The sequence below is a fragment of the Homo sapiens genome, chromosome 1 (genome assembly GCF_000001405.40).
Source record: "Homo sapiens chromosome 1, GRCh38.p14 Primary Assembly".
In the NCBI taxonomy this organism is placed as follows: Eukaryota; Metazoa; Chordata; class Mammalia; order Primates; family Hominidae; genus Homo; species Homo sapiens.
This window is the reverse complement of record NC_000001.11, coordinates 212,248,531-212,270,918: the sequence shown is the minus strand read 5'-3', so window position 1 is coordinate 212,270,918 and position 22,388 is coordinate 212,248,531. Positions and strand designations below refer to the sequence as shown.

At 42.5% G+C, this 22,388-nt stretch overlaps 1 long non-coding RNA gene across 1 annotated transcript in view, besides 4 other annotated features; it reads left to right on the top strand.

Moving 5' to 3' along the window:
* LINC02608 (long intergenic non-protein coding RNA 2608) overlaps nt 1-22,388 on the top strand; it is a 72,020-nt gene that overhangs the window by 14,103 nt on the left and 35,529 nt on the right. The window lies entirely within an intron of this gene.
* Nucleotides 11,251-11,420: an enhancer, noted in NCBI's record as "experimental_3428 CRE fragment used in MPRA reporter constructs". NCBI's record gives its function as "activates a minimal promoter by MPRAs in K562 erythroleukemia cells, with activity observed for the non-introgressed 1:212432926 variant allele {active_cell/tissue: K562}" and the evidence as "EXISTENCE:reporter gene assay evidence [ECO:0000049][PMID:34662402]".
* Nucleotides 14,241-14,742: an enhancer, noted in NCBI's record as "H3K4me1 hESC enhancer chr1:212429519-212430020 (GRCh37/hg19 assembly coordinates)". NCBI's record gives its function as "activates a minimal SCP1, AML or CMV promoter by ChIP-STARR-seq in primed H9 embryonic stem cells {active_cell/tissue: H9 hESC(primed)}" and the evidence as "EXISTENCE:reporter gene assay evidence [ECO:0000049][PMID:30033119]".
* Nucleotides 14,448-14,627: an enhancer, noted in NCBI's record as "active region_2501". NCBI's record gives its function as "activates an Ori minimal core promoter by ATAC-STARR-seq in GM12878 lymphoblastoid cells {active_cell/tissue: GM12878}" and the evidence as "EXISTENCE:reporter gene assay evidence [ECO:0000049][PMID:35858748]".
* Nucleotides 17,815-18,061: a silencer, noted in NCBI's record as "fragment chr1:212426200-212426446 (GRCh37/hg19 assembly coordinates)". NCBI's record gives its function as "represses an EF-1alpha promoter that drives an FKBP-Casp9 reporter gene in an ReSE screen in HepG2 liver carcinoma cells {active_cell/tissue: HepG2}" and the evidence as "EXISTENCE:reporter gene assay evidence [ECO:0000049][PMID:32094911]".

Here is a 22,388-nt window from a genome sequence, read left to right as displayed (position 1 = left end):
CCCAGAATTCTGCCATGAGTTCAGGCAACAAAACCAAATGGCAAACTCTTGCTGTAGCCAGAATTGCCCTTCTCCTAAGAGGATCATGGCTGTATATTGAGTCAAGCAGTTGTACTGGCTCCTTTTTCTCCCCACCCCCGTAAGATAACCACTCTACTGGGAAAACGCTTAGCCCCTGGCAAAGAGTCCTGTTGAGTGTCTCTTTGTTTTGTCTGTTGCATTCAGACACAGAAGCTCAGAAAAGCTATAACCCTGGATGGAAGAATGAGTGGAGCTAAAAACATGTAAAATACTTTTTATTGTTTAGGGATATATAGTGCATGTAAATGTATGCATGCACACACAATTTTATATATATATGTATATATTCCGAAACATTCCTGTATATATAATGGGAATTGAAAACACCAAATTCGAAAACTGGTTACTTCCTAGAAGGAAGGCAGGAAGGAAAATATAAATGAGAGGGATACACTGAGGGTTTCGGCTATATCTGAATGCTTTTTTTTTTTCAGCTAGATGTTGGATTGATATATGTTTATTATATTATTCTCTACAGTTTGTATGTAGGAAATGATGTGTATGTATAATATATATTTTTTTAATTTTGGAATGAGGAAAGTAGGGTCTATATATTTTAGAAATGATGAGCTTGAGCTGATATTTGGGCACTTACAAAAGGGGAAATTGAATATGGAGCAAGTCTTTTTCAGCATGCACTTGATCCAGCCAGCAGATGACTGCAAAGCCTCATGCACCAAAGTAGGAATCCCCAAAAGGAGCTGAATAATGGAGAGCCTCAAGCACTACCCCCAGAGATTACCCATCACAGGAAAAGTGACACTGAAGTAGCACCAGCAGAGGAAAGCTAGAGGAACAGATGGGTTGCTGTAACAAAACAAGGGAAATGTAATTCCTTAGATGCTTGAGGGGAAAAAGCATAGACTAGGAAGTAATCTGTCAGTAGCAGCAGGGAAGAAAGAAAGAGAAGACACTTGGACTTCTCTGGAAAATACCTGTATTGACTTATCAAGAACAATTCCAGCAGTGCAAAAACTGATTGCTATGAAGAAACTTCAACTTCCAGACATGAAAATTAACTGGAATTTGACTTGCCCTCTCACCGGTAACAACTAGAAAATTGGCCATAATGTATGAAACAGTTGTTTTCATTGGACAATACACAGTGAGGAATTGTGATCCCTGAGAAAAGAGAAAGAAATGAAAAGATCCCTACAATATTCCTGGCTTTCTGCCTGGAGGCACTTTCCAGACCACAAAGAAGGGGACCCAAGTAGACATGACAATCTTGCTATGAGGAGGACAAAAAAGATCAGAGTTTGAGGAGACTGAGGAGGCTGGAATTTGTGAGGCAGAATACCAGAGAAGACAGAGGTATGCAGAGAAAGAGCTCCAGAAATCTTGAGCCCCCTTGAGTCCATGCAACTCCATGACACTGGGCAAAAATAAATAACTAAAAAAACTCTTAGGGAGCTGTAAGCTAAACAATTTCCTGAGCTCCCACTGGGCTGGGAAACATTCTAGTTCCAACCAGGGAGAATGGAGAGACCTTGTTGAACCCCTGTGGCATTCAGAAAAGACCCCAGAAGGGCTTCATGTATATGCAGTAGGGCAAAACTAGCCCTAAAGTAAAGGCTACTCTAGACCTTCCCTAACCAATCTTAAAAGCAAGCATCAAAAAAGATCAAACTGATCTGCTAGTTTTGACCAGACACCAAGCCATATAGAAATCCAGTATCCAACATCCAATCAAAAATTACTAGATATCCAAAGAAGAAGGAAAATGTGGTTCATAAACGAGAGAAAAAAAATCAGTTAACAGAAACAGACCCAGAAATAATAGAAGAATATGCAATTGGGTAACAAGAACTATAAAAAAAGCTATTGTCAATATGTTTAAGAATTTAAAGGAAAACATAAAAATGTTGAGCAAAATTGCAACTATAAAACAGAATACAATGGAATTTCTAGAGCTGAAAAGTACAATATCTGAAATAAAACATTTATTGAATGGGCTTAACAGCAGCTTAAGTAATGAAGAAGAAAAGATCAGTGGACTTGAACATATAGCAACAGTAACTATCCATATGGCAGAGAGGATGAAAACTAGAAGAAAAGAGAAAAAGACAGGTTAGGCACATTGGCCCATGCCTGTAATCCCAGCACTTTGGGAGGCCGAGGCAGGAGGATCACTTGAGGCCAGGAGTTTGAGACCAGCCTAGCCAACATGGTGAAACCCTGTCTCTACTAAAAATAACAAAAAAATTAGCTGGGCGTGGCAGCATGCACCTGTAGTCCCAGCTACTTGGGAGGCTGAGGCATGAAAATCACTTGAACCTGAGAGGCGGAGGTTGCAGTGAGCCAAGATTGCCCCACTGCACTCCAGCCTGGGGAACAGAGTGAGATAGCCCATTCAATGAATTTTTAATTTCAGATATTGTACTTTTCAACTCTAGAAATTCCATTGTATTCTTTTTTATAGTTTCCATTTTGTTCCTCAACATTTTTTATGTTTTCCCTTAAATTCTTAAACATATTGACAATAGTTTTTTTATAGTTCTTGTTACCCAATCGCATATTCTCCTATCAAAAAAAAAAAAAAAGACAAATAGAACATCAGTTACCCATGAGAAAAAGTCAAATGGTCTAAAATAGTGTCACTAAAATCCTAAAAGAGGGCTGAGAGAACAGAAATACTATTTGAAGAAATAATGGCAGAACATTTTTCAAATTTGATGAAAACTATAAACTCACACATTCAAGAAATCCAACAAACCCCAAGTAGAATAAAAATCAATTTAGGTAGAAAGTGCATTCTGAGTATTTTTAATAATGGAGTGATTTTCTGAATGGACTGGACCTAAAGGCACTAGTCCAGGGAGGAGAGGGAAAGGTTTGCAAAACGTAGGGAACTGTACAACTTGTGAAAAAATAGAAACCCACCTAGAAGGCACAAACACTAAAAGAAAAGAGAAGAGATGGGCCATCTGGAGGAACCAAATACTGGAAGGTGCAGACAAACTGCAGAGTAAGGAGAGAAACTCATGAGAATAAAAGAATAGAAGGGCATCTCCAGCTTTCAGCCTTTCCTCTTACCTCATTTTTGGACAACGGTCATCTCAGAACTGAACTTGAAGCTCCATTCTTTTCTGCTTTTTCTTGCTTTTATTGAGCCTAGGTCTTTGTGTGTCCTTGGACCACAACTATCAGAAGTGGTTTATGCTTCACTTGTCTCCTTTCACTTCTCAGTAGACCCGTGCCTCTCCTTTCAGCCTCTTACTTGCCTGGAGTCTTGGTTGGATCTCTTGACCCAGTTTATAGACCTTGAACCTGGGAGGCCACAAGGATGTCTCCTAGCAGCCAGAACTCCTTGCTTGAGAGGCAATGAGGGGTAGAGGAAGGGATACTGACTTAGAATCAAGATTTGAATCATAGCTCAGCTTCTGCCACTAAGAGACATTCTAGAGCTGTGTTGTCGAATATATGTTAGCCACTAGACAAATGTGGCTACTGAGCATTTGAAATGTGACTAGTGTGACTGAGGAATTGAATTTTATATTTAATTTTAATCAAAAACCTGAGACACTGAAAATCATTTTTCCATTAAACACAGTGTGGAAAATATTGTTACATTGTAACAATAATATAAATAATTAATATAAACAATAATATAAATAATATATAACAATAATATAAATAATTAAAATGCATATTTTAATTTTAATTATTATATAATAAACTAGGTTTTTAGTTTAAAAAGTGAGTATGGAAAATTTTTAATATTTAAAATGAAGACATTCTACCGATACAGAATTGAATAGGGATTCAGTAGCTAATAAGTACTTTGACTGGGACCGTAAAGAAAAGAGACTGGGCTGTGCACAGTGGCTCACGCCTGTAATCCCAGCACTTTGGGAGGATGAGGCGGGCAGATCCCCTGAGATCAGGAGTTCGAGACCAGCCTGGCCAAGATGGTGAAGCCCTATACCAAAATAGTCTCTACTAAAAATACAAAAATTAGCCAGACATGGGGGCACGCGCCTGTAATCCCAGCTACTCAGGAGGCTGAGACAGGAGAATCCCTTGAACCCAGAAGGTGGAGGTTGCAGTGAGCCTAGATTGTGCCACTGCCACTGCATTCCAGCCTGGGCGACAGAGCAAGACTCTGTCTCAAAAAGAAGGAAAAGAAAAGAGACTGGCAGGGTGCGGTGGCTCATGCCTATAATACCAGCATTTTGGGAGGCTGAGACAGGAGGATCGTTTGAGCCTCGGAGTTTGAGACCAGCCTGGGCAACATAATGAAACCCCATATCTACAAAAAATACAAAAAGTTAGCCAGGCATGGTGATGCACACCTGTAGTCCCAGCTACTTGGGAGGCAGAGGTGGGAGGATCGCTGGATCCTAGGAAGTTGAGGATGCAGTGAACCATGATTGGGGCACTGCAATCCAGCCTGGGCGACACAGCAGACACTGTCTCAACAAAAAAGAGACTGGAAGAAGTCAAGTCACAAATTTACAAAGTGAACAGCAATTGCAATTTGCTGCAGCAGAGCAAAATTTAAAAGCTGTTTATTTTATTTAAAAATATAAAGTAAACAGGCCGGGTGCGGTGGCTCACACCTGTACTCCCAGCACTTTGGGAGGCTGAGGCAGGTGGATCACTTCAGGAAAGGAGTTCGAGACCAGCCTGGCCAACATGGCGAAACCCCGTCTCTACTAAAAATACAAAAATTAGCCAGGCATGGAGCACACGCCTGTACTCCCAGCTACTTGGGAGGCTGAGGCAGGCTTGAACCCAGGAGGCAGAGGTTGCAGTAAGCCAAGATGGCACCAATGCAATCCAGCCTGGGCAACAGAGCAAGACTCCATCCCCCCACCCAAAAAAAGAAGTAAACAATAGTATGAGACATTTTCAGCAAATATATAGTGAACTTGGTAAGACATTTACTCTCAGCAGTTAAAAAAGAATTAATATTGGTTGCCTGAAATTAGAATTATATGCCCAACAAATATTTTAAACAATTTTTCGCGGTATCTGAGCATATAATGTTGGCCTACTATAAGATGACATAGATTCTTACACAAAAAAGAAAGTCATTTTTAGATAGAGAGGTAATAAAAGAAATTATTATTTTAGTCATGGATATATTGGTGGAAAAGTATAAGAAAAAATGTAAAATATATTTTACAAAAAGTTAAAGCATAGTACAGCCATTACGGAAAACAGCACAGAGGTTCCTAAAACAATCAAAAAATAGAACTATCGTATGATCAAGCAACCCCATTTCTGGGTATATATCCAAAGGAAATGAAATCAGTATCTGAAAGAGATATCGGCACTTCATTCACTGCAGCATTATATGACCATTGATAGATGAATTGATAAAGAAAATATGATACACACACACAGGAATATTATTCAGCCTAAAAAATAAAAGAAAATCCTGTCATTTGTGACAACATAGATGAACCTGGAGGACATTATGCTAAGTGAAAAAAGCTAGACACAGAAAGGCAAATAATGTGTGACCTCACTTATGTGAAATCTAAAAAAGTCAAACATAAAAACAGTGGGTTGGCCAGGCATGGTGGCTCATGACTGTAATCCCAGCACTTTGGGAGGCCAAGGCTGCTGGATCACCTGAGGCCAGGAGTTCGAGACCAGCCTGGCCAATATGGTGAAACCCTATCTCTACTAAAAATACAAAAATTAGCTGGGTGTGGTGGCGTGTGCCTGTAGTCCCAGCTATTCAAGAGGCTGAGGCAGGAGAATCGCTGGAACCTGGGAGGCACAGGTTGCAGTGAGCCGAGATTGCGCCACTGCCCTCCAGCCTGGGCAACACAGCGAGACTCAGTCTGAAAAAAAAAAAAAAATAGGCCGGGCACGGTGGCTCACACCTGTAATTCCAGCACTTTGGGAGGCCAAGGCGGGTGGATCACAAGGTCAAGTGTTTGAGACCAGCCTGGCCAATGTGGTGAAACCCTGTCTCTACTAAAAAATACAAAAATTAGCTGGGTGTGGTGGCGCATGCCTGTAGTCCCAGCTACTCGGGAGGCTGAGGCAGGAGAATCGCTGGAACTTGGGAGGCAGAGGTTGCCGTGAGCCAAGATTGTGCCACTGCACTCCAGCCTGGGTGACAGAGCAAGACTCCATCTCAAAAAATAAATAAATAAATAAAATAATAACAATTAAAAATAAATAAAATAAAAACAGTGAGTTGAATGGTTGTTACCAGGGATGGAGGGTGAGGGAAATAGGGAGATACTGGTCAAAGGGTACAAACTTTCCTTTATAAGATCAATAAATTCTGAAGATCTAATGTATAGCATGATGACTATAGTTAATAATAATGTAGTGTATACTTAAAATTTGCTAACAGAGTTTATCTTAAGTGTTCTCACCACACACACAAAAAAGCGTTGTTATGTGAGGTGATAGGTATGTTAGCTTGATTGTGGTAGTCATTTCACAATATATACGTATATCAAATCATCGCATCATACATCTTAAATATATGCGATTTTTGTTAATTATACCTCAGTAAAACTGGGAGGAGGGGAATGAAAGCCCTTCAATTTAACCTGCCAAACAACTGCCTATTGAATACAAAATTTTTCTAACAATACCAAAGTTCAATTGATTTAAGTTTTGGAAAATTACAAGGACTTTCTTCTACTTTGAGAAGTTATATAAGAGGACCTGCTCAATTAATACTTTGAATGTGTTTTGTCTTAAAAGGACTTTCAAACTTATAAAAAACAAGTATTGCTATTTTGCAGCCTATTTAGTGAACTGACTGGTGTAGATGTTTTTGAGTCTTTTATTCCTGTCAAAGAAAACAGTCAGCTAGATATAACACAGATTCTATCACAAAGAAGGGTGCTCTGGCTATGTTAAATCAAAAGTCTAGATTTATTGCAATTTTAAAGCAAGAAACTGATATTTCTTCTATTACTTTGTTGCTCTTATACATATTGAAGATATTTATGTTCAGTTTTCTGAACAGTGTCATGATACAGTTGTTAAATATATGTGCAAATGCTATGAATCATCAGCTCGTAGAACTGTAGAAATACATAAAAGAAAGTAAATGTAATGATCTTGTGCTCTTTTCCAATGCCCATTGGTTGAGTAGTGGAGAGATCTTTACAAAGGTTTAATGTACTGTTAATTCTCATTTAAAATTTTCTTGAAACAAAAGGAATACTTTCCAAATATTTAATAATAAAAGACCAAAAACAGCAGTGTGATTTTGTTTTCTCATTGATATCACACAGCATATGAATGAGCTAAATTTGAAGCTTCGAGGAAAGGAAAAGTCTTATCCATGACCTAGCTAGACAAGTACAAAAATCTATGTTGAAACTAAAATTTTTCGTAATACAAATCAATAACAATCTTATACATTCTTCTAACAAATTAACATGCAAATTTTCATTATAATAAACAGTATTATGCAAATTTGTTGTGAAACTAAGAATATGAATACATTATATAATTGATGAATGTATCATTTATTTTCAACTTATGTAATACCCCTTTGAATTCAACTTTAATAATACTGAGTTGACACAAGAGTTACTGAATTAAACAGACATAATTTGAAACTGATAATAAGTTTGCTTTAAAGTCAAGTTAATTCTTCTAAAAATAAAGAAACCAGATTTGACAATATGGATGTAAATGTTAAAAGAAAATTATTTTTGGTACTCAACTTAGTTATTGGAAAACTTTTAAGTATGTTTGGAATAACTTGGGTATGTGAATCTATTTTTTAAAACTATAAAGTGTGTGAAATATACAGATCAAATATTTCTGATGCAAATTTAGCATTTGAATTGAAATATGCTGTATGTTTAAAAATACTCAATTCAGAGATTTCACATTAAAAAGAATATAATATATATTTAATAATTTTTAATATGGATTATATGTTGAAATAATATTTTGGCTGGGCATGGTAGTCCAAGCTACTCAGGAGGCTGAGGTGGGAGGATCCCTTGAGCCTAGGAGTTTGAGGCTGCAATAAGCTATGATTGCACCATTGCACTTCAGCCTGGGTGACAGAGCAAGACTGTCTCTAAAAACATAAAACATAAAAATGAATTTTAAAATACTTTGGAGATATTTGGTTAAATAAAATGTATTATTAAAATTAATTTTACTTGTTTCTTTTTATTTTTTAATGTGGCTGCTAGAACATTTAAAATTATGTATATGTCTCACATTTGTGGCTAGTTTCTGACATTTCTTAGTTGTATACCTTAGGCAGGTGTTTTAACATCTCCACACTTCAGTTTTTCCCATCTAAAAATGGGGTTAACAAGAGTTCTTACTTTATAGAGTTGTTGTAAGAATACTTAAATAGTGTCTGGCATATAGTGATTACCATGTGTAATTGCTATTATTATTATTATTAACTATGTGATCTTGAGAAGTTCCTTAACCATTAATTTACTCATATGTAAAATGGTGATAACAACATCTACCTCACAAGACTACTTCTTGAATTAAATGAGATACGATATACAAGATTGCTTGGCAGGAGGTAGGTGACCACAACATTGCTGAAACTTCCAGATCTTTGATGATATTCAGAAGGTTCTGTTATCTGGCTTATCTTGCCCCTCTTAAATTCAATTGTGTTTGTGTGTGCGTGTGTATGTGTGTGTGAGAAAAGTTGTAAATTATAAGGTGCTCTTTAGTTGTTAAACATTATTTTTATTATCCCCTACCATAAAACTGTCTCTCCAAGTATATGTTCCCTAAACTTGCCTTACTTAAAGCCTTCCTAGCCCCACTCACTCACCAGCTAGACTGAAATTTTGCTTTTCCATGAGGCCCTCACTGTGGATTCCAGCCCCAGTATAATCTCCTAACCCTCTAAATTCCTGAGACATTTCCCACCCATTGTATATTTTTGTCAGGTAATCCTATACTACTTTGTATTATTGTTTAATATTATCACCTGTATGTCTCCCTGGTCAGGCTACAGTGACTGTTTTATAACTTGTGAATTTCCCAACAGCACATGATAATTGCTCAAAAAAACATTTGGCCACCAAGTGGGAACATTTGGAAAAATTGGAAGGGAAAAAGGAGTTTTGACCCTGGAGATCTGGGTATACTCTGTAAAGGACAAAAAGTATCACGGGATAGAAGGAGTTTTATGCAAAAGTTTGAGATAAGCTTGAAAGGGCTGAGTACAGCTGATATGGAAAAAGAAGGGCGGAGGTGGTGGCTAAGGACAGAGCAGAGATTAGGAGCATAGTGGACACCTGCCCTGCAGGACAGTCCTGGAACTCAAAGCAGAGCTCTGTCTTTCCCATGGTTCCCCCAACAGCTATTTCCAGCCACACCCAATTTTAGAAGGTGCCACAAGGCCTCAGCCAATCAATTATCTTGCAAATCTCAGGCAGCTCATTCTGAGAGTTGCCTTCCTCTTGCCCTGGGAGCTTTCCCCACACCCAGGCATTTAACATGTTTTGAAATTCTTTCTTCTGCTTGAAGTTTTTGCTGACCACCTGACAGTGAATGAAAGCAGGTGCCCTACTCTACTGCCTTCTGAACTCATAAATCCCTCCTGGGTACTCTATCAGAAGAAAATACCCTACCACCTGAGTCATTGCAGAATCTACCATCTCCAAACACAGTGCCTACTCCATAACATGATGAATTGATGTCACCAAGTTGATGCTTGTTTGGGCCACAGTGAAGGAAAAACACAGCTAACATGGAGAAAAAGAAACTGCTGTTCAACCATGACTCATGGGCTTACCTCACAACACAAGGTTCAGGTTTGTTTTGCATTTTTGTGGCTCCAAGGTGATAGTGAATTGGCAAGGAGAAAAGGAGACAGCATGGTGGAAGTCAGGAGAGGTGTGATTCAGTTCTTGTCACCAACCGCAGTATGAGTTGGGCTGGGTATCAACTCATTTGAGTTTGAAAAATACAGACATGTCTTACCGCCTCAAAATTTTTTTATTCAAAGTTAGTCTGTTCCCACTAGGCATGATGCCCCAATGACAATCACACCTGAAAGGGGTCTGACACTATCCCTGGGAAAGGATCGCTAATTTCTGGATCTGGGGAAGTAGGACATGCCAAGTCTAGTTACCTTGGCCACCTGGCTCAAGGACATGGAACTAACAGAGACCAGCATACATGGATAGGGACCCAGCTGGCTTGATCTTTCACTCTTGCTTTTTTTTTTTTTTTTTTTAAATCCAACCAGGTTCAGCCAGACTCTTCCTCTCTCTTTGAAATGTTATTCCCAGCCCCAGGCCAAAATCTGATTACATAATTAGGCACTCAGTAAGTGTTCTCCAATGCTGATTTTTAATGAACTTGGACAATGCTGCTTCCTGTTTTGAAAGAGACAAACCCATTTGAAAAGCTAGCCTGTGCCCCTAATACCCACAGCATCTTGGAAATCAAATGGGCATTTTAATCACTTTAGAGGCAAAACCAATCAGATATAAATAGGTTAAAGTTCTTACAACTTTAAGACGGCAGCTGTTGAAAAGGAAAATTTGGTAGCAGGATATGATTGTGAAGCCAAAACTAGTACTGGCTGATCTATCTATCTATCTATCTATCTATCTATCTATCTATCTATCTATCTATCTATCCATCCATCCATCCTACCTAGTCACAGATTGTTCTGGGCTAACATCAAGATTATGAGACCTGGCGAGGTAGCTCATGCCTGTAATTCCAGCAATTTGGGAGGCTAAGGCAGGAGGATTGCTTGAGCCCAGGAGTTCAAGATCAGCCTGGGCAATATGGTGAGAACCCATCTCTACAAAGAATGAAAATATTAGCTAGGTGTGGTGGTACATGCCTATAGTCCTGGGTACTCAGGAGGCTAGGGTGGGAGGATCACCTGAGCTCAGGAGGTCAAGGCTGCAGTGAGCTGTGATTATGCCACTGCACTCCAGCCTGGGCAACAGAGCAAGACCTTGTCTCAAAAAAAAAAAAAAATTATGACTATGCTGACTCAGGAGTCTACCATTTTCCTGAGATTTTGGACTGGCAGGTAAAAGATATTTGTAAGACTTTGGATGGCATCTTCCTAACAAATCACTTCTCGGTCTCCTGGGTAACTTTAGAGGGCACTTTGGAGTTAATTCGAGGCCGTTTTAAGTGCCACACCAGGCCTGCTGATGTTCCTTAGTGGAAGTAGAATTAGGCTGACTTTCCCAGCATTTTTGATATGTGTTGAGTAGTACAAGGGGCATGAGGAAAAGGAAATGTTGGAGATAGCAGGCTTGCTGGGAGAAAGGGTAGACATTGAGGAGGGGTGTTGTACTTATTTACCATAAAAGCTGTTCTATCTTCTCACCCTATATCCATGACTACAACTCAGGATTAAATGCTAACACTAGTATTTCCTTGCTTAAAACCTTTCATCTGAACAATGCTTCCCACTGCATCCTTGGTCTGACATTTAAATTCAAATTTGGTTCTGCCTGTATCTTCAAAATCATTTCTCAACACTCCCTGTCACTAAACACTGCTTACAGTTCCCAGTGAGGTGGGAACTCTCTTTTATGCCTTTGCCCAGATTGAGCTCTAAGATTGCCTTTTTCCCACCTTCTTTACCATCTATTTTCTATGTGTTCTTCAAGATAACTCAGGTACCACCATCCTTGACACTGTCCTGAGCTCAATCTCCCCCCTCTGTTACCTCTGAGCACCCCAGGCAGATCTCTATCATAGTCACAGGATACTGTAATCATCTCTTTGCTTTTTTGTCCCCAACTAGACTGGATCATAGACTCTTTGAAGGTAAAACTATTTATTAAGCATCATTATATTTCTGTGACTTGTACAATGCCAGTCACTTGTAGACACTCAATAAATGTTGATGAATTAATTAATTTGGTATAGATTGGGGGTAGAACCATCCCAACCAACTGGCATTGCACAATGCCATAGACTAGAGCTGGCCTCATCTCCAGTTCTCTCCTGGGCACAGGCCTGGAGCTCCACTGGCACCCTAGGAGCTCGGTCCTGTGTCTACACACAGACTCACATTATTCTCTCCATCTAGACTTGGAATCTTCAGCTCCAAGCTCCATGCTCTCCCTCTTTCCTCTTTTGGAAATTTGTTTTTCCTTCTTTCTTTTTCTTTCTTTTTTTGAGATGGAGTTTCGCTCTTGTTGCCCAGGCTGCACTGCAATGGCACAATCTCGGCTCACCGCAACCTCCGCCTCCTGAGTTCAAGCGATTTTCCTGCCTCAGCCTCCTGAGTAGCTGGGATTACAGGCATGTGCCACCACGCCTGGCTAATTTTGTATTTTTAGTAGAGGTGGGGTTTCTCCATGTTGGTCAGGCTGGTCTCGAACTCCCGACTTCAGTTGGTCCACCCGCCTCGGCCTCCCAAAGTGCTGGGATTACAGGCGTGAGCCACCGCGCCCAGCCAGATATTTGTTTCTTGTTTAAATCCACTTGGTTCTTTTCGCTTTGTCTCTCTGCCCTCCCACCATTACGTACACAATGTTTTGGTTGCATGTTTCTGTCTGTTTTTGCATGCATGCATGTGTGCTCTGTCTCCTCCAAAGTTCAGGCCAAAGTTCACAGACGGCCATGGCTCTCCACCAAGCCCACTGCAGTGCTGTGTACACAGTGGAGGTTGCCTCCTTCATTGGCCCAGAGCCTGTTTGGGATCATTCACAATCCCTACAGTCTGCAGCCATCTCTACAAGAGGCCAGTTTGTATAGCTTTTCCTCATAGTATTCATTTCCACAGTGTTCTGTGTCCTGTACTGGATCTGTGCTGAGTTACTGAACATTAAGATTTTGCTTTTGTCTCAGAGACACCTGATGAGAACGTTGTGTGTCGTGACCTCAACCAGCTCAAAACAATTAAAATGTGATATCTCAACTGGATTGGAACACTTCTACCATTTCCCAGTAATACCTTTTGGGAGAGAAGGAGTAAATTTGGAGCTTGTCCTTTCAGGGATTGGGATTCACTGAGATACCAGGTCTCTTCTATTGCAAATAGAAAACAGTTTTTATATAAGGGTTGTAACTCTTGCCCATCCATCTGCAGAGTACATGCTTTTATGGGTTATTTATTTAAAAAAATTAAAGAGTTGTGTTAAACCATTTTTTTGTTGTTGTTGTTTTGAGACAGGGTCTTGTTCTGTCACCCAGGCTGGAGTGCAGTGGCACAATCTTGGCTCACTGCAGCCTCGACCTCCTAGGCGCAAGTGATCTTCCTACCTCGGTCTCCTGAGTAGCTGGGACTATAGGTGCACACCACCATCCCCAGCTAATTGTTTTTAAAAGTATTTTTTGCAGAGATGGAGTCTCACTATGTTGCCCAGGCTGGTCTCAAACTCCTGGGCTCATGCATTCCCCCTATCTCAGCCTCCCAAAGGCTGGGATTGCAGGCATGAGCCACCACGCCCGGCCTAAACCATTTTTATTCTCATCCAATGGTCTGAAGTTGAGAACCGTTGGTCAAAGTTAGGAGTGCTGCCTGTGACACTGGAGTGGATGGAAGTTCACTGGCCCACAAAGGAATCAGATTCGTGACCTTGGCCCTATTACCACTAAACCAACTAGGATATTAGCCCAGAGGCCTGGCAAAGATAGAGCTTGGCCACAACTCCCTTGAGAAAGAGCAGGCTACTCTGCAGATGACCATTTCTAGATCCCCATGGTTTCTGGGCAGTCTGACCCCAGATCCCCAGTGACCAGCTTCCCCTCACCCCAGATGGCTTCCTGTTTGAATGGTCTTCCTACTTCATTAGGTGGGAATAAGTCAAGATAAATGCCACTCAAGCCTATGTCAAGATGGTTAAGAGGAGGGGGCTGGGAACTAGGCACATCTGAATCTGCATCCCAGTGCTGCCGCTTGGTGCTACCTGGTCTTGGGCAAGTTGCTTAACCTCTCTAAACCTTATTTCCTCATGTTTAAAAAGGGTATTGTGATAGCTGCTACTTCATGTGTTTGCGGGGTGATTAAAGGAGAAAAGGCATGTAATGTGTGGAGCACTATGCTTGGAAGACAGTAGGTACTCACTTGGTGGTAGCTCTTCTTCATACATTCATAATATTGTAAATAGTGATAATAAGAAGCCATATTGAAAGTGATTACAACAAGACAGGGCCATGTTGGCCGTGCTCTCAGGACACAACCCCAGTCACTCCTGCCTGCCTTCTCCCAAGGTGACCCAGTTAGACAGTGCCAGCTTTGTTGGGGGCTGCTGAGTGAAGTGAGAATCCTGGCCTGCATCAGGCTGCCTGGGCATGACCCCTGAGCTAGCAGCCATGGGAGGGGAGCAGAAGGGGCAGGGGAGAAAGAGTGTGCTAGTGGGAGGGCTGGGACTTTGAGGAGGAAGTGGGTTTGTGGTAGGGACAGGGTGGGGTAAAGAAGAGGGATGGGCAGAGCTTGAGAGATTTTTAGCAGGAAGGAAGGCAGTTGAGCAAAAAAAGAAAAAAAAAATCCCTTTGTGTCTTATTGGCCTCTTGCTGTCATTTGCTGAAAATGAGGACTCAGATAAACCAATGCAAATCTTCTCGGGTATCACAAAACTCAGGCCTCTCTCTTTTTGTGTCTTTTGTGGGGCATGAGAGAGGTACGGTCTCATCATTGTCCTATCTGCAGCTCCAAAAAAGAAAAAACGGGCTGTGTTTTTCAGATGGTCAGACCATCAGACCAAGATTTAACATGCCTTTTTCAGCCTAAAAGTCTTCTTGCACAACCTGGTGTTATTTCCACAGGCAACTGAAGTAACTCTGCTCTTGAAATCCTGCCCCATGTGACTTTTTCTTGTTTGTTAGCCCAGTAACTAAATAGTCATGACAGGAAGAGAATCCCCCTGTTCTGTGAGGCAGGGACCTGGGAGGTCAGCAGCACCCTGTGGACATCTCCAGGGAGGGCACGTTATATCCTGTGTACTTGGGACAGGGGAAATAGAGCTGGTCCCCACTCTCGGGGGCCTAGCTTAATGCTCCGTGTCGTTCTTCAGCCACACAGTTATCCAACCGAGAGGCAGCTCGGTGTAAACAGAATGACTCTAGAGCCATGCCCCATGGAACACTGGGCAGGTTCTCCTATCACAACAGGAAGCAAAGTCACAGGAGAGCAGGATGTCAAAAGCGAGGTTTCTTCAGCACCTGTGGAGACACCAACTTGTCTCCTCACCCTCCCCCATAGTTCCATCTTGGCTAGACCACTCACTTTCCCAGATTCATTTTCAGACCTTCATCCTCAAACTTCAATCAGGTTTTATATGGGAAAGGGGCCGGGGTGAACGATTTCATCCCAGTGGATCTATTTGATTCTGAGTCTCCTCATCTCACCCCTGAAATAGCCTATTGTTTGGAACAATCTGTTGTTTGAAATATCTCAGCTTGGTTGTTCTGTTTCCACCCATTTTGCACGTTCAAAATCAACCCCTAATCCTCATCTCCCAAATCATCTCAGTTTCCTTATTTCCATTAAACAGGACAGCCATTTATCCCATTGTTCAAGTACTACTTTGCCTCACCCATACTAGCTTCATAAATGGTCACCAGCAGATTCTGCTGATTCTTGATTCATCTGAAATGTCTCTTGTCACTGTCACTTCTGTACAATGCAAGCTTTTATCCCTTCCTCATGCCTGGACCTGGGTAACAGCCCCTTACCAGACCTCTCGGACTCACGCCAGCATTATCCACATTAATCTGCCTGGAACACAGGTTGCATCACTCTCTTTGCACAGAAGCCTCATCACTGGCTTCAGTACAAGGTCCAGCCGGGTGCCCAGCCTGGCATTCCCCACATTCCTCTCCATTCTGGCCACCAACTTCCCCAGGCAATCTCCCACCTCCCCAAAAGATACCCACACTCCTGCCATGCTGTTTTAATACCGCACCCTACCTGGTATGGGAGATGGTAACACAGGAAGGGAGAGAGGGAGGGAGGGAGGAAGGGAGGAAGGAAATGCACACTTCCATCTCCCCCGCAAATCTTTCTGTAGTGGTTCTAGTCTTTGCTACTACACCCTCGTCTGAACTCCACCATCAGTGTCTACGCCATTCATTAAAAAACAGACAAGCTACAGATGATGTGCAAGTGTGTTAAAAAAAAAATAAAAAACAAACAAACCACTTTTATTATAAAAATTTTCAGACTTACATAAAAACCCCTATGACCCCATCAACCAGTTTCAATAGCCATCAAGTTTGCCATACGTATTTAATCTATCCTCCCTTTACCTCCCCACCTTTTTGCTTTTTGGCTGAAGTTTTTTTTCTTTCTCTTTTTTTGAGACAGAGTCTCACTGTACCCCAGGCTGGAGTGCAGTGGCACGATCTTGGCTCACTGCAACCTCTGCCTCCTGGGTCCCAGTTCAAGCAATTCTCCTGCCTCAGCCTCCCGAGTAGCTGGGATTACAGGAATGTGCCACCATGCCCAGCTGATTTTTGTATTTTTAGTAGAGATGGGGTTTCACCATGTTGGCCAGGCTGGTCTTGAACTTGCCTGACCTTGTGATCCACCCGCCTCGGCCTCCCAAAATGCTGAGATTACAGGCGTGAGCCACCGCGCCCAGCCTGCTGAAGCATTTTAAAGCAAATTATAGGTGTTATGTCAACTTACTCCCAAATACTTTAGCATGCATCTTAGAAAGGGTATTTTCTTCTATCACCACAATGCCAAAAATTGATAATTCCTTCTTATCTACAGTCTATATTGAAGTTTCCCAAATTGTTCTTTTTAAAAGTTCATTTTCAGAACCAGGTGCGGTGGCTCATGCCTGTAATCCCAGCACTTTGGGAAGCCAAGGCAGGCAGATCACCTGAGGTCAGGAGCTCCAGACCAGCCTGGCCAACATGGCAAAACCCTGTCTCTACTAAAAATACAAAAATTAGCCGGGTATGGTGGCAGGCGCCTGTAATCCCGGGCATGGTGGCTCACACCTGTAATCTCAGCACTTTGGGAGGATTGTACTTGGTTATGTCTGTGAGGTCTCTTTTCAATCTTTTTTTTTTTTTTTTTTGAGATGATTTCGTTCTGTCACCCAGGCTGGAGTGCAGTGGCACAATCACTGCTCACTGCAACCTGAACCTCCCAGGCTCAAGCGATCCTCCCACCTCAGCCTCCTGAGTAGCTGGACTACAGACATGCACCACCATGCCTGGCTAATTTTTGTATTTTTTGTAGATATGGTTTTTTTTGTTTTTTTTTTTTTTGAGATGATTTCGTTCTGTCACCCAGGCTGGAGTGCAGTGGCGTGATCTCGGCTCACTGCAGCCTCCGCCTCCCAGGCTCAAGCAATTCTCCTGCCTCAGCCTCCAGAGTGGCTGGGATTACAGGTGCACACCACCTAGCCCAGCTAATTTTTATATTTTTAGTAGAAACAGGGTTTCTCTATGTTGGCCAGGCTGGTCTTGAACTTCTGACCTGAAGTGATCCACCTGCCTCGGCCTCCCAAAGTGCTGGGATTACAGGCCTGAGCCACCGTGTCTGTCCCAGGATTTTGCTATGTTGCCCAGGCTGGCCTCTAAGTCTTGTCCTCAAGCAGTCCTCCTGCCTCAGTCTCCCAAAGTGCTGGGATTACAGGTGTGAACCACCACACCCAGCCCTTTAACTCCTTTTAAGCTAGAGTAGTCTCTCCTCTACTTTTCCCCTCAAGTTAATAGGCCTGTAGAATGTCCTACATTCTGGATCTGCCCTGTGGTATCATTTATAGCCTACTCATTACAATCCTAATACCTTGTCTTGATCTTTTTTTTTTTTTTTTTTTTGAGACAGAGTCTGATTCTGTTACTGAGGCTGGAGTACAGTGGTGGGATCTCAGCTCACTGCAACCTCCACCTCCCAGGTTCCTGCCTCAGCCTCCTGAGTAGCTAGGATTACAGGTGTGTGCCACCACGCTTGGCTAATTTTTGTATTTTTAGTAGAGGCAGGGTTTCACCACGTTGGCCAGGCTGGTCTTGAACTCCTGACCTCAGGTAATCCTCCCACCTCAGCCTCCCAAAGTGTTGAGATTACAGGCATGAGATACTGTGCCCAGCCTTGATCTATCTTTGATCTAACTCTTGTATATGTAATTATAGAGTCCCAAAGAAAAAGTCTCGTGTGTGAGTATGTGCAAATGAATGTGTGTGTGTGCGTGTGTGTGTGTGTGTGTGTGTTTGGCTTCAACGTTACAGTTTTCCACATACTACATCCTCAATAAACACCTGCTGAACAACATTTATTAAGTCTACTACCTGAAGAATTGTGTACTAGGGAGAGATACAGAGAAAAAAGGAGACAGATTCCTAACCTTGGTGTTTCTAGTCCTGTTTATACAGGACAGTGGTTCTCAAACTTGAGAAGGCTTATTAAAAACACAGACTGCTGGGTCCTACCCCCAGAGCTCCTGATTCAGTAGGCCTGGGATGAGTCCTGAGAATCTGCATTTCTAATAAGTTTCCCAGATGCTGCTGCTGGCCCAGGGGTCAATCTTTGAGAACCATTACTATCAGACATGAGCTTCAAAAAGTCTCCCACAGCCTCTGGTGCCCAGGCCACTTACAGAGTACTGATTCCCTAGGCTGCCACTTCTGAAGTCTCTCTGAACTCAGTGAGTGGCCTGATTGTCCAAACTTTCTGGTAGGAAGGAGCTACTTTGAAGATATGTCCTCCTGGTGGAGAGGAGTAAGATGATGGTGCTGACAGTAGGGTCCAAAAGTGGCTTCCTGATACAGATGAAAAGGGTCATCTAGGTTCTTTGAGTACCAAAAAGCCTGAGAGGCATGATGGGCAGCAAAAGCCTTTCCCAGGCTAGATACTGACAGCTTTGAGCAAGGGTCTCAGGGTATAAAGGGTATGCTTGCTCCTTTGCCTCCTACAGTTATTCATGCCATCCCTGCACAGGACTACCGCAGGGCAAGATGTGACTGAGGCTTTTTGCCACTGCTTCTGCTCCAGTATCTGCCATCTAGATATGGAATGAAAAGATGGCCTTTGGAAGCAGTGGGCAAAATGAAAAAAACTTTAAAGTCTTTTAAGAGCATCCTATTAAATTGAATCAAAGTGACTAAGTAAAAAAATTTTGTTATTTTGCTCAATGCTCCCAACTAGACTTTTTTTCTATCCCAGGCTTATTTCCTTTCCTGTGGATAATAGTTGTTTCTTAGTTTTCCTTATAATTCCTGCTATTCTTTCTATCCCCTACCTTATTCCTGGGGGCAGATTCCTTTTCCTTCCATCCACCCCATATATTTGGACATTTCCCATGTTCTAAACTCAACCTTCATCTATTCTCACTAATAGACTCTCTTTGATAAACATCTACTTTTTTGGTTTCTTTTGAGACAGAGTTTCACTTCTGTTGCCCAGGCTGGAGCGCAATGGTACAATCTTGGCTCACCACAACCTCTGCCTCCCAGGTTCAAGCGATTCTTCTGCCTCAGCCTCCCGAGTAGCTTGGATTACAGGCATGCACCACCATGCTCAGCTAATTTTGTATTTTTAGTGGAGACGGGGTTTCTCCATGTTGGTCAGGCTGGTCTTGAACTCCCAACCTCAGGTGATCCCCTCAGCCTCCCAAAGTGCTGGGATTACAGGCATGAGCCACTACGCCCAGCCCATTATCTACTTTTATAGCTTCAACTTTCCACTCATATGTTCATGGCTCCCCAAAAAAATACCTCCAGCCCAGACCTCTTTCTTGAGCTCAGACCATCATGCCAACTTCCTGCTGGATGTCTCCACCCGATGACCCACAGGTACCTCCAACTCAGTACATCTAATCCAACTTATTTTCTCCATCCCAATACTTACTTCTTATCCCCTTGCTTTATATCCTATCCCTGTTTCTCCAAACTCAGTGATGGCATCAACATCTCTCGAGTTGTTCAAGCTTGAAATCATGGAGTTCTCTTCAATTATTCTCTTTTCCTCACCTACTCTCTTGAAATATCTGGATAATGCATAATCTTCTTGCAATCTCCCCTGCCTCTGACTTAGTTCCAATCCTTATCATCTCTTTCCTGAGTCACTGCAGTGTATTAATGATAGCTGCTATGTATTGAATGCTTACTCTGTGTCAGAAACAGTGCTCAAATCCTTATATACTATACTAACTACATCTGTTTTCTGCTGCTATAAAAGGATACCACAGGCTGGGTAGTTAATAAAGAAAAGAAATTTATTTGGTTCATGGTTCTGGAGGCTGGGAAGAGCAAGAGCATGGCACCAGCATCCAGCGAGGGCCTTGTGTTGCATTATCCCACGGCAGAAGGGCAAGAGAGTCTGTGAGACAAAGAGAAAGATGGGGCCTGAATTTATCCTTTTATCAGGAGCCTATTCCTGTGACAAATAGACCACTCCCATGGTAACAGCATTAATCTATTTATGAAGGTGGAGCCATAACTTAATCACCTTTTAATCACCTCTTAATCACCTATCTCTATGAGACCATCCTGAGCAACGTAGCAAGACCCTGTCTCTGCAAAAAAGAAATGTGAAAATTAGCCAGGTATGGTGATGTGCATCTGTGGTCCCAGTCTCAGTTGGGAGGCTGAGATGGGAGGATTGCTTGAACCTGGGAGGTCAAGGCTGCAATGAGCCATGACTACACCATTGCACTCCAGCCTGGTCAACGGAGTGAGTCCCCCATCTCAAATAAATAAAAAATAAAGGTTTTACCTCTTAAACTGTTTAATTGCAATTAAACAGATATTTTTGCCAACAGCAATCAAATTTGTTTTCAAGGGGTTATTCAAACCATACATATACCTTATATTTTTCCTTTTTGTTTGACTGTTTTATAATAAATATTATATCATAATTACTAATCAATGGGGTAACTATTATCATCCCCATTTTATAGGTGAGAAAACCAAAGGCTTAAAAATACTAAGTAACTGGCTGGGCGCAGTAGCTCGTGCCTGTAATCCCAGCCCTTTGGGAGGCCAAGGTGGGTGGATCACCTGAGGTCAGGAGTTCGAGACCAGCCTGGCCAACATGATGAAACCCCATCTCTACTTAAAAAATATAAAAATTAGCTGGGCGTGGTGGTGCACACCTGTAATCCCAGCTACTCAGGAGGCCGAGGCAGGAGAATCGCTTGAACCCGGGATGCGGAGGTTGCAGTGAGCCGAGATCACGCTATTGCACTCCAGCCTGGACAAGAGCAAGACTTTGTCTGAAAACAACAATGACAACAACAACTAAGCTTGCCCAAGATCTCCTGCTTTCTGGTAAGTTGTGGAGACAAGAGCCTGTGTTCTTAAACACTGCCATGTAGTGATGTGGTCCCAACGTTGGTGGCACTCTAGAATCACCTGGGGAGCTTTTAAAGACTACCATTTTCCCAGCCTCAACCCAGACTAACTGAATCAAAATCTCTGAGGGTTTGGCCTGCACCTGAGTATTTTTTTAAAACTTCTTTAGGTGATTGTCATAGGCAGTCAATACTGAGAACCCTTGCATTACTGTTTGTATGCATAACCGCTTTCTCTACTCCAATCCCACTCCACTCTGAATCTTCCTCCAGACTGCTGTCTAATTGTTCTTTTAAAGCACCACTGTGATGATGCAACTGTCCTGCTCATGCAGCTGCAGTGGTTCCCCTCTGCCTATACAATAGGGGCCAACATCCTCAGTGGAGCAGCCGGACTCTTCTCAGTTTGCATGCCCATCTGTGAGCCACCCTTCCGGTACTGTTTTTTGTGTGTGTGTGTGTGTGTTTTTGAGACGGAGTCTCGCTCTGTCGCCCAGGCTGGAGTGCAGTGGCGCAATTTCAGCTCACTGCAACCTCCGCCTCCCGGGTTCACGCCATTCTCCTGCCTCAGCCTCCCGAGTAGCTGGGATTACAGGCGCCCACCACCACGCCCGGCTAATTTTTGGTATTTTTAGTAGAGTCAGGGTTTCACCGTGTTAGTCAGGATGGTCTCAATCTCCTGACCCTGTGATCCACCCGTCTCGGCCTCCCAAAGTGCTGGGATTACAGGCATGAGCCACTGCGCCCGGCCTTTTTTTTTTTTTTTCTTGAGACAGAGTCTAACTGTTGCCCAGGCTGGAGTGCAATGGTGCAATCTTGGCTCACTGCAACCTCCACCTCCCGAGTTCAAGCGATTCTCCTGCCTCAGCCTCCCAAGTAGCTGGGCTTACAGGTGCCCACCACCACGCCTGGCTAATTTTTTGTATTTTTAGTAGAGACGGGGTTTCACCATGTTGGCCAGGCTGGTCTCAAACTCCTGACCTCAGGTGATCCACCCACCTCGGCCTCCCAAAGTGCTGGAATTACAGGCATGAGCCAAAGACCTTCCCTTACTCTTTACCTGCAGCTACACCACACACTTAAGATTTCCAATACCCTTGCACATGTTATTTGCTCAGCCTAAAGTGGCCTTTTCCCCTTCCT